The sequence below is a fragment of the Homo sapiens genome, chromosome 7 (genome assembly GCF_000001405.40).
Source record: "Homo sapiens chromosome 7, GRCh38.p14 Primary Assembly".
Classification (NCBI taxonomy): domain Eukaryota; kingdom Metazoa; phylum Chordata; class Mammalia; order Primates; family Hominidae; genus Homo; species Homo sapiens.
Genome location: NC_000007.14, coordinates 39,604,169 through 39,616,223, shown reverse-complemented (window position 1 = coordinate 39,616,223; position 12,055 = coordinate 39,604,169). Strand labels below are relative to the sequence as shown.

At 40.6% G+C, this 12,055-nt stretch overlaps 1 protein-coding gene and 1 pseudogene across 1 annotated transcript in view, besides 1 other annotated feature; both read right to left on the bottom strand.

Moving 5' to 3' along the window:
- LOC646999 (akirin 1 pseudogene) lies at positions 4,113 to 6,596 on the bottom strand (annotated as a pseudogene).
- YAE1 (YAE1 maturation factor of ABCE1) overlaps positions 4,135 to 12,055 on the bottom strand; it is a 45,686-nt gene continuing 37,765 nt past the window's right edge. Inside the window, exon 3 of the mRNA NM_001282446.2 lies at positions 4,135 to 6,607. Coding sequence (NP_001269375.1) covers positions 6,238 to 6,607 — 370 coding nt within the window. The 3' untranslated portion in view covers positions 4,135 to 6,237. The remainder of the gene's footprint in view (positions 6,608 to 12,055) is intronic.
- Positions 6,344 to 6,493: a silencer, noted in NCBI's record as "silent region_18111". NCBI's record gives its function as "represses an Ori minimal core promoter by ATAC-STARR-seq in GM12878 lymphoblastoid cells {active_cell/tissue: GM12878}" and the evidence as "EXISTENCE:reporter gene assay evidence [ECO:0000049][PMID:35858748]".

Here is a 12,055-nt window from a genome sequence, read left to right as displayed (position 1 = left end):
TTGTAGGTACCCAGCTCGAACTAGGCATGTCCAAACTGACTGATGATAGCCAAATGATCAAAGCCAGAAATCTAAATATTTGCTTTGAATTTTCTCTCTACTTCTTACACATCCACTCATTTACCAGGATATGCTAAATCTTCCTCCTCATTATATCTCAAAATCATTCATTTCACTCTGCTTCTATCACCACGTCCCTAATCCAAGCCATTATTACCTCCTTACTATTATTGTAGTATAGATTCAATGGGTTCAGACTTTTCCTGCTCTAAACGCAGTCTTCACTGTGCAGCCATCATGATCTGGGAGGCAAATACAACTTCTCTGCCTAAACTACTTTAATACTTCCATTAATCTTAGGATGATCTGGAATGGCTTGTTTGTCTTTCTTACTAGGAGGGCAAGAACTCTGTTTCATGTACTGTTATCACCCCCATATTGATTGGCTCAATATTGATTCTTTTAAGATGAATCATGGGAAAATATTATGAAGGAAAGTGCCCTGTGTGTTAATCAAGATAAGCTAGGTTATATTGCAGTAGCAGAAAACTTCAAAATCTCAGTGGCTTACCATCACAAAAGCTTATTGCTTGCTCATGCTACATGTACAGTTTGCTAGGATTCTCTCCTTTTCACTGTTACCTAAGAACCTACCTGTTGGAGGCACCAAGTGACATGTGTTTTCACAGTCACTGCAGGTGACTGCCAGGTGCATAGAACATGGCAAATCTTGCACTGGCTGTTAAAGTGACATACTTGCACTCATAATTCATTGACAAAGCAAGCCACATGTCATGCCTATTCAAAGTGGATAATCAAACCATATATCTGAAAGGAAAGGGAAACATAAACATTTGTATGTAACCCAATGATATCATACCCTCTTAGTTGAGACTCTTTTGCTTGCAGATGACATAAAACCAGCTCAGTCTAGCTAAGGGATGATGAGAAAAATATCCCTTCAAATTTAAAAAGGGAATGAAAGACCAGTGTGGCAGCTCTTGCCTATAATCCCAGCACTTTGGGAGGCTGAGGTGGGAGGATTGCTTGAGGCCAGGAGTTTGAGACCAGCCTAGGCAACTTAGCACAACGCTGTTTTGTTTTTGTTTTTGAGATGGAGTCTCACTCTGTCACCCAGGCTGGAGTGCAGTGGTGCGATCTGGGCTCACTGCAACCTCTGCCTCCTGGGTTCAAACAATTCTCCTGCCTCAGCCTCCTGAGTAGCTGGGATCACAGGCGCACGCCACCATGCCCAGGTAATTTTCATATTTTTAGTGGAGATGGGGTGTCATCATGTTGGCCAGGCTGATCTCGAACTCCTGACCTCAAGTGATCCTCCCACCTTGGCCTCCTAAAGTGATGGGATTACAGGTGTGAGCCACAGTACATGGCCTCATTTATTTAAAAAAAAAAAAAAAATTAGCCGAGCATGAGGGCCCGCAGCTGTACTCCCAGCTACTCAGGAGGCTGAGGCATGAGGGACTGGTTGAGCTCAGGAGTTTAAGGTTACAGTGAGCTATGATTGCACCACAGCACTCCAGCCTGGGCAATGGAGCAAGACACTGTCTGTTAATCAAAAGGGGGTGGGGAGGGGAATCATAAGACAGCAGATCATAAACTGAAAAAATTCAACAACTGAAAATGCAGGAGTATATCTGGGCCTCAGTGATAACTGGAACCAGGACTCTTCCTCCAAATCTTGTCTCTGTTTTGTAGGTTTGCTTCAGTCTCCTCCATTTCAGAATGACTGACTGTCCATATGGCCACTGATATCTCCCAATCCTCATACCTCATGGCTGCCACGACACTAGAGAGGGCTAGATGTCTTTCGGTTTTGTTTTTCCAGTTTCTTTAGTAAATCCTGGGTTGGGACTCTGAATGGTTTGGTGGGAGTCATGTGTCCACTATTAGACTGGTGATCTATGAGCCAGGAAACAGAGTCATGGGGCACAACCATGGTGCCTGCCACCCACCCCTCAAGGGGCCTGTGATGGTTAATTTTATGCATCAACTTGGATGGGCTGTGGTAACCAGCTATTTAATCAAACTCTAAGTATGGACGTGAAGGCATTTTGTATATGTGGTTAACACCTGCAATCAGTTCACTTTAAGTAAAGGAGAATACCCACAATAGTGTAGGTCAACCTCATCCAATCAGTTGAAGGCCTCATAAGCAAAAACGGAGGTTTCCTGGAGAAGAAGAAACTCTGCCTCAAGACTGCAGTGTCAACTCCTGCAGAGCTTCCAGCCTGCCCTGTGGATCTATGGATTTTGGATTTGCCAGTCTCCACAATTATGTGAACCAATTCATTAAAATAAATCTAGACAGCTATAGATATATCTATGTATCTGTGTCTGGAGAGCTCTGACTGATACAGAGACAATTCCAGGATATGACAGAATCATTGTAATGCGAGCCAGGTGGCTACCCCAACCGAGTATCGGTGACAGGAAGAGAGATGATACACTGAGGAATGGGAAAGAAAAAAAGGGAGGTGGGAATAAGAAAAAGTACATGTGGTAAATAACATTAGAATGTAGCTACGCATTGACTCATAGAAGACTAGCTTTAAGTTACAAAACTTTGTCCTAATGCATAGTGAGTATTCACAAAACCATGATAAATATATTGAAATTGTCATCCCTTTCTGATTTAGATTATTCCTTCATTTTGAATTACTCTGTCAGCAGATGGCATGTTTTCTATAATTCATGTCTTACCATGTTTTATTTTTCTTATTTAACATTCTACAACTGGTGGTTTTATTTTCTAAGTAAATTTATGTCACCTATTGCTGCTACAGCAAATTAATGCAAATTTAGTGGTTTAAAACTAACAAAAAAAAGTTTTATTTTACAGCTCTAGAGGCCAAAGTCTAAAATGGATTGGCAGGACTGTGTTCCTTCTGAAGGCTCTAGGGCAGGGGTCCCCAACCCCCGGGCCAGGAACTTGTACAAGTCTATGGCTTGTTAGGAGCCAGGTGGTACAGCAGGAGGTGAGCGGCGGGCTAGCCAGTATTACCACCTGCGCTCCACCTTCCATCACTTTAGCAGTGGCATTAGATTCTCATAGGAGCAAAACCCTATTGTGAACTGGGCATGCGAGGGATCTAAGTTGTGTACTCCTTGTGAGAATCTAACTAACGCCTGATGATCTAAGGTGGAACAGTTTCATCCGAAAACTATCCCTGCTAGCCACCTGTCCATGGAAAAATTTTCTTCCAAAAAACCAGTTCCTGATGCCAAAAAGGTTGGGGACGACTGCTCTAGGGGAGAATACTATTCTTTGCTTCTTCCAGCTTCTAGAGGCTGCTCAGTCCTCGACTTGTGGCCCTCTTCCATCTCCAAAGCCGGCAGTCTCATCACTCCGTCTTCTGCTTCCATCATCATATCTCCTTTCCAACTCTGACTGTCCTGCCTCCCTCATAGAAGGTCTCTTGTGATTACACAGGGTTTACCAAATGATCCAAGGGAATTTCCCCATCTCAAAATCCGTAACTTAATCACATGTGCCAAATCCTTTTGCCTTTAAAGTAATATATTCACAGGCTCTGGGGCTTAGGACATAAACATCTTTAGGTGAGGGTATTCATTGTTCAGCCTATTGTAATAAATAATTATTATCAAATTGATACACATAAATTAAAAAATCAAATAATATTGAAAAATCCCTCTCTCCAAGGCAAGTATTTTTAGCTTTTGTATCTGTTTCTTCTAGTATTTATCTTCATCGTTCTCAATAATAGGCTTACATGGTCATTTCTTATTTTACCAGTTTTATTTTATTTTTGAGACGGTCTCACTCCATTGCCCAGGATGGAGCACAGTGGTGTGATCTTGGCTCACTGCAACCTCCACATCCTGGACTCAAGCAGTCCTCCCATCCTAGCCTTCCAAGTACCTGGAACTACGGGCACACACCGCCACATCTGGCTAATTTTTTGTACTTTTTGTAGAGAGGAAGTTTAGCCATGTTGCCCAGGTTGGTCTCAAACTCCTGGGTTCAAGCAATCCACCTGCCTTGGCCTCCCACAGCGCTGGGACTGCAGGCATGCACGGTGGCACCCAGCCTATTTTATCAATTTTAGACATCATATGCTGACTTTGTTTTTTTAAGAAGACAAGGTAAACAAATAACTTAAGTAATTTATTTGTTTGCAGTGAAGCTTGTTAACACCATATAATGAAAATGTACAAAGAACCATGTTGCAATTATTGGGTAGATTTAAGTTAAAGACATTCATTAATAAGGAATCTTTGAATATGAATATTCCAGGACTATCTCTAAGCCATTTGATCAGAACATCTGTCTTTGACTATTACCTTATTTGGGAAGGTATTGGCATAAATTTGAATTAAGCTCAGAATTTTTCAAAATAAGCCCTCATTTAAAAAAACTATATTCTATATTCAAATAAAATAATATGAATAGGACTTTCCAGAAACAATAATAAAGGAAACAAGGTATCTTGTAAAATGTGGTCCTGAACAAATCATGGTAAAAAAATAAATGTATACTTAACTCCCAACTCCTCACAAAAGAGGCTACTTTCTGTGCCTCAGCTGTGGAAACAAGGGGCAGAATACCCTATTAGCAACCTTGGGCAGGGGTTTGCCAACACAAAAGCTCAAGCACTTAAACATGGCTACCTCAAAATAATTTGGGGGAACCTGACCAAAGGATTCAAATTTTGTTTTTAGTAACTGATACAAAGGTAAAGTGCTCCTGCAACTAGCAGTGCCAGGGGAGCCTGCCTCGGCCCAGCACTCACCTACCTTATGCCCCCGAGCAAACTCTGATGCTCCTGCTCCAGGGGAGACCTTTTCCCTTTAGAGGTTCAGGACCCAGTGAACTCTTGGATTGTGTGAATGAGGTAAGCACCAACTCCATTTGGGAATTTTAAGGCTTGGAGTTAAATATTTTTCTAACACAGCTAGGCAGAGTCCATGTGTCAAAGGCCAGTCTCCAGTTTGTTCTAATTTCTCACTATGTATTTGTATATCTAAGACAACAGACTTTCACTGTATTGTCATAACCACAGCCAATGGCCATCTTCACTTTTTTTTTTTTTCTTTGAGATGGAATCTTACTCTGTCACCGAGGCTAGAGTGCAGTGGCACAATCTGGGCTCACTGCAACCTCTGCCTCCCTGGTTCAAGTGATTCTCCTGCCTCAGCCTCCCGAGAAGCTGGGATTACAGGTGCTCGCCACCATGTCCACCTAATTTTTGTATTTTTAGTAGGGACAGGGTTTCTCCACGTTGGCCAGGCTGATCACGAACTCTCCTCAAGCGATCCGCCCAGCTCGGCCTCCTCCCAAAGTGCTGGGATTACAGGCATGAGCCACCATACCCAGCCTGCATCCTAATTTATGATTCCTATTTTGTGCCTGGTGAACAGTCCCCATATTTAACAATAATACCTACACATAAAACAATCCACTGTTACAATTTATATAGTCACAAAGCATTAAGTATCTTCTGTAGACCATAGTTTTTAACCATAATTTTCTGCATCAAATCCACAGCCAGAATCCCCAAGATCAAAAAAATTTGCACAATACAAACCATAATCTAAAGTACATGTACAGACACATACACACTCTCACACACACTTCTTACAGAACTGTGCTTGGGGAAACTCCATTTGTTGAGTGCCACTGAAGGCATATTTTGCTACACTGCTGCTCCAGGTATTTTTGTTTGGAAAAATCTGTCACAGTAGGGTATGACTATTTACTGGATGAACAGAAAAGAAAGATATACCTGTGGCAACCAGAAAGTTTTAAGGTCTTTCAAGTCGTATAAAATGGACCTGCAGAAACGTTGGAATGTTCTCAGGATGCAAAGTTGGAGCTGAAATGTGATATCAAACAGTTGCAAAAAATGTATAGCAACCATGCCTTGAGGTCAAACCTGGTACCGAGATCTGCAACAAAAAGCTTCAAGACACATAGTTTGTTGGGCTTGTCCCACATGGTCGCATAATCTGCTCATGTGTGAATTTCACAAACGACTCGTATTGCTCTGCTAGTTTGGTATTGAGGATTTTCTCATACTCCTCCCAAATCTTCTCTTCATAGTTTGAGAGACGTGTACATATTGTTCTAGCTTGCCGGAGGGCCAAGGTGGGCTGGTCCATCTTCACCCAGGAGAAACCTGCAGCACTGGGTGCTGGGTGCTGAGGACTGAGGCTGGCTTTCCTAAGCACAAGCTGCCCTCTGATTAAGAACAACTTCTAAATGTGTCCACCTCTGATAATGATTCTATTATATGTTGAAAAATGTGTTTCGGAGTTGGAAGGTGCCTCTGGCGGCCAGGCGGGGCAGGCTGCTGCAGGGTCGCGGTGGGGTTTGCGTCTGAAACGCCGGCGGTGGCTCGGCGTCCCAGGGCCTGGGGCCCGGAGCCGGGCGGGGAAGCGGGGAGTGGCGCGGCCGCTTTGGGGAACCAGGCTCAGCAGCGTCGCCTCGAGCTCCGTGGGCTGCTTCGGTGTCGCCCCGCTCGCCATGTGGCCGGGGACCGGGAGGGGACGCGGCAGTAGTTGCGTCCCAACCTCCGGACTCCTCAGCGGGGCTCTCAAGCCCAGTAGGCTCCAATCCGTTGAGTTCCTGTTTTGATAGACAATTGGATAGACAGAGATTTGGCTCTGTTATCACTGTCCCCACAACTTTCCCCATTCTCCCAATTCGATAACATCATCATTTTCTGATAAACTTATAACGAAGATTTGTCTCTGTTACAACCCCCCAACTTTCCCCATTCTCCCAATTTGATAACATCATTACTTTCTGATAAAATAATAACCAGTGTTCCCACATGATGGTGATGTAAATATGATTCACTGCACAGCTTAATAGAGAAGTATGACTGCATTTCCTTTTAAAGATTTTTGTTTGGCTTTGGTATCTGCCTTATTGTTTCACTTATCTAATTTTCTATCCAGATGTTCCTAATGCTTTCCAAATATTTCATCATATTATCTGTGGGGTCTCCCTTTTCCTGCAGCTCTTCCCCTGGGGGCCTCCAGTCCTCCTGATCACTGGCCTGGTTATTCTTCCTGTCTACAGCACAGTTATCCTGTGATTCTTCCTCACTGCTTTCTTGGATAGCACATTAAAGGGGCTGGCGGGCTGGAGTGCAAAGAAAAGGTGACAACTTTTCTGAAAGTGAGATTTCTGACATGTTGGACTGAAATTGTCTTTATGTTCTGCAGTGATGGGAAGGATTTTTAAATCTGACTTAATCATTAAGCTCATGTCAGGCTTGACTTTGGTATAAAATGAACCCTGACTCAGTATTTCTGACAATCAAGTAATACTCAGAATGAGTATTGGTTGTTTTAATTATATAACTTCTTCAGTTAGAAGCCCAAAGTCTTTTATGTAATGAGTGAAAGAGTAATTAAAAGTATTTGTTTACACTCCATATCTGAATGCTTTCTGAAGGAAAGCATTGGTGGATCCCTTATCAGTAGTTACTGAGAATTCATACATAATTAATAAACTTCTGTAATATAGAATGAAATCCTAGAAAATGTAAAATTTTGTTTAGACTGTAATCATGTCTAAAACGTATGTTGAATAGAATTAGCTTATTTCCTGTCTTTCCTCTTGGAAGAAATCAGAGTCCCTCAAATCAGTCATTCTGTAAATACTTGTTGGGTGCTTATTATGGTCAAGAGAGCAGATCTCCTGAGAGATCTTATCTTTGCCACATTCTCTTCCTCTCTTTGTTTTCTACCCTTTTCTTTTTCTTCTTTCCCGGAAATCATCCCTTAAACTTTCTCTATCTCCTACTCCATCTGCTCTTCACTGCCTGTCTCTCTCAATCCCTACGTCTTCTCTTGTCAGCAGTCACTTGATCAACACAGGTGCCTTCTGTGTATTCCCAAGAACTTTGCCATGTGTATTGTCCCAATTTTTAACTTCCCTAGGGTGCTGTGCTGAATATTTTATAGGCGTTAAATAAATTATTGAAAGGCTTTAGAACTATAGGCAAATGGCATTTCACTTATGTCCTTGTTTCTAAGTCAATTTTTAAAAGTTGCATACCTTTATACCTTTATAACAATGGCACCTTTGTTGATTTCAGGGTTATTCAGTAGTTTCCTTAATTAATTTTTTTGACAGAAATAAAGGAGTCAAGGGAGGGTGAACATGTTCTATGATCCTTGGATTTGGCCTGAAGGCTATTAAGGATTTCAACAGAAAAGGAATCAGTGCAGAGGAAAGGCCAAAAACAAAACAAATATATTACGGCCAGGCGCCCTGGCTCACTCCTGTAATCCCAACACTTTGGGAGGCCAAGGCAGGTGGATCACATGAGGTCAGGAGTTTGGGACCAGCCTGGTGAACATGGTAAAACCCCGTCTCTACTAAAAATACAAAAATTAGCCAGGCATGGTGGCACACGCCTGTAGTCCCAGCTACTCAGGAGGCTGAGGCAGGAGAATTGCTTGAACCCGGGAGGCAGAGGTGGCAGTGAGCCAAGATTGTGCCATTGCACTCCAGCCTGGGAAACAGGGCGAGACTACATCTTAAAAAACAAACAAACAGTAACAACAAAACCCAAATATATTAGTTTTCTATTGCTGCCGTGATCAATTACCACAAACTTAATGGCTTAAAACAACAAAAAGTGTATTATCTTAGAGTTCTTTATTGAATTCAAAAGTCCAACATGGATCTTACTGGGCTCAGATCAGTGTGAGCAGGGTGTAGCCTAGAGGCTGCCTGATTTCCTTGACTCATGGCCTCCTTCCTTCACTTTCAAATCCAGCAATACCAAGCCAAGCCCTTCCCATGCTGCAGTTTCTCTGGTTCTCCAATTCCCTCTTCCGCTTTTAAGGGTTCTTGTGATTATAGGATAATCCAGGATAACTTCCTATTTTAAAGCCAGCTGATTATCAACCTTAATTCCATTTCCAACATTCATTCCTTTCCTATATAATCTAACATAGTTTCAGGTTCCAGGGAGTAGGACATAGACAACACTGGGGAGGTCAACAGACATTATTCTATCGACCACAGTGAACAAAGGAGAGGATCCTGACAATCCCAAAGAAGGGAAAACTTATGACATTAAGTAAACCTCATGATTTGGAGATGAAGAAGACAACAGAAAAGCACTGAAGACAGTATAGCCCATTATGTAGCGAATACTTGACATTTTCATAGAGTATGAGGCTGAGAAGAACTTGGATATGTCACATAATTGTTGATAGCAAGCAAACCACTAGAGTCAATTTGCACTGGTATAAAGACCAACATTTTAGAAAGGAATAAAAATTTTATTTTTCTCTTGAAAGACTCAAAATAATGACAGTAGGCAACTCTATGCAAATCACCCTGAAACGAGAAAGTATATATTTTTAAAGCTCAATACAGTTTACAAAATGATTATATTCTGCAGTTATACAATTTGATGAAATTTGGATTTTAACTTATTCAATAGTTCATTCTGTATGGCATCTCATAAGTACTGCATAATGCTATCTTGGATTTTGATTTTTTTTTAGTGCTTTTTTGGTATTAAGTCTGGAATCTTCTAATTTGCCCTTAAACCTAGATAGAGAATTGTGGGCACACCCTTTTGTGTGTGCACAAATATAGCAACTGGAATGTTATCTGTGTACCACCATTCACCCGGTTCCACCTCCATGCTCAGCAGAAGTCATCAGGGTGGAGTAGATTTATACAGCACAGAATAATAGTTTCATTTTCTCCTTTGTTCTTGCTATGAGCCACAAACTAATCACTGTCAAAGAGAATGAGATTGGAATTATCTGTTCCTTTTGAATGTACATGAGGTTTCTCAATGTTAAACTAAAAATTTAACTACACGTAGGTGTTTAATACACTAGCATTCTTCTATTTGCTAAATTTTATTAAATGAAACTTGAAGTCAAAATCCAAAATGTCTCTGTATTTTTGAAATGGTTATTAAAAATAACCCTTTTATTGTTGTTTAAAAATACAATCTGTAACTCTGTTCCTTCTATTCTACTTCTGACTCTTTGTGCTTAAGCTTTTTTATTTTTTTTGAGCACAAAAAATACAGCTAGAAGTCACAAAGGAAGAAAAACAATTGGAAGCAATAAGTAAATGTAATAATGAGATTTCAAAGTTGTAGGAGACTTTTGAAGTGGTTTTCTGGAGAGAATTTCTAAAAAAAAAAAATTGTTTACCATGATTCTTGGGGGTAGGGCAAAAGACCTTGTAGCTTACCTGTTTCAATTTTCTAGTAAAAAGAACTCTGTGTTTCTAAACAAAACAAAACAAAACAAAAAAAAGAACTCTGATGATGAATGAAACAATAAAAATTGAAGTAGAACCATAATTCTAGTCATTCTCAAAGCCCAGCAGGAAGTAAAAACGATAATCTAGAGAACATACTCGATTTACCTATAAGAACTGAAGAAAGAACTTGCTTTGGGAGAAGTTCTCAGCCCATGTCATAGGGTTCTGCAGAGAAACAGAACCAACAGAGAGAGAGAGAAAAAAAGATTGGCTCACGCAATAATTGAGGCTGAGAAGTCCCGAGATCTGCAGGCAATGAGCTGGAGACCCAGGAGAGCCAATGTATAGTTTGTCTGAGCCTGAGAGCCTGAGAACCAGGAGAGCTGATGGTGTAAGTTCCAGTCTGAAAAACAGCTGGCTCAAGACCCCAAAACAGCCAGTGTTTCAATTCAAGACTGGAAGAGGGAAAGATTAATGTCCCAGTTCAAAGCAGTCAGACAGGAGTTCCCTCTTACTTGAGGGAGGATCAGTCTTCTGTTCTATTCAGGCCTTCAACTGTTTGGACAAGGGCTACCCATAGTAGATAGGACAACTTGCTTTATTCAATCTTCTGATTCAAATGTTAATGTCATCCAGCACCAACCTCACAGACACACCCAGAATAATAATTAACCAACTATTTGGGCACTTTATGGCTCAGCCAAGATGACACATAAAATTAACCATCACAGCTCATAGGTTAACCACAACCTACCTCATAGTAGGTTGCAGACCATGGTTACAAAGTCACTTTGACCTGGTCTGGTTTCCCACCCAAAGCAAGAATCTCTCAACAACATTGCTGCTAGATGGTCATATACGGTCTTCTTGGAAATTTCCAATGGGGAAATCAATATTTTATGAGAAAGCTCAGGGGCAGCTTTAATTATTTTAGATAGGTCTATGCTATTTTGAACTGAAGAATATCTCACTGTAATTTCCAGACATTTGTTCTTCTTCTAACCTTTGGAACTACTCAGAGTAAGTCTATATTCTATTTCACACACCAACTCTTCAAACAAATGAAGATTCTGTTATATTCTTTCAAACACTTTTTTCCCAAGTTAAACATTTCCAGCTTATTTTTCTAATCCTCATAGTATATGATTTCTGTGACACATTCTAGTTTTGTCAGTTTTCATAAAATGTGATACCTTAAACTGAACACATCTTAAATGTGTTCTAACTCCTTTATACTAGGGAAAAATCAACTTTGAGGCTCTGTTTCTCTTATTTTCATATAAAGAAAGAAGTTTTCTGTTGAAAAAACCACTGAAACCATTATTTATGACTATATAACTACTAATCAAAGTAGCCTTAATATTATTTCAAGTTGCCCAATCCAAGTAGTTTACATAAATGGTTTCCCAAACTCCTCTAAGATAAATACACAATATTTCACATATATATATTAACACAATCATTCTGCAATGTATTGTTTTCCTTGAGACTCAAATATCAGTGGAGGTCACACTACATACCTAAAACCCTGATTTTGTTAGGTATCGACTTATCCCCCTTGTGACTCAGGTAAAGGTGACACTAAGAAGTAAATCCTGATTGGTCTAAGACAATTAAGGTGTTTCAGAATAGGAGCAATCCCTCTTGCCAAAAGAATGGTTTAATGGCAGGCATGTGATATAGCTCTGGCCAATTAGATGTGTAAGAAACTCTGTTGAGTTGCTTCTTGAAAAGGTTTCCAAATTTTTCAAAAGGAGATGTTAATAAATGGCCTCTTTCCTTCCTCTGGATGTTCTGTGTGGATGTGTTGACAGGCAC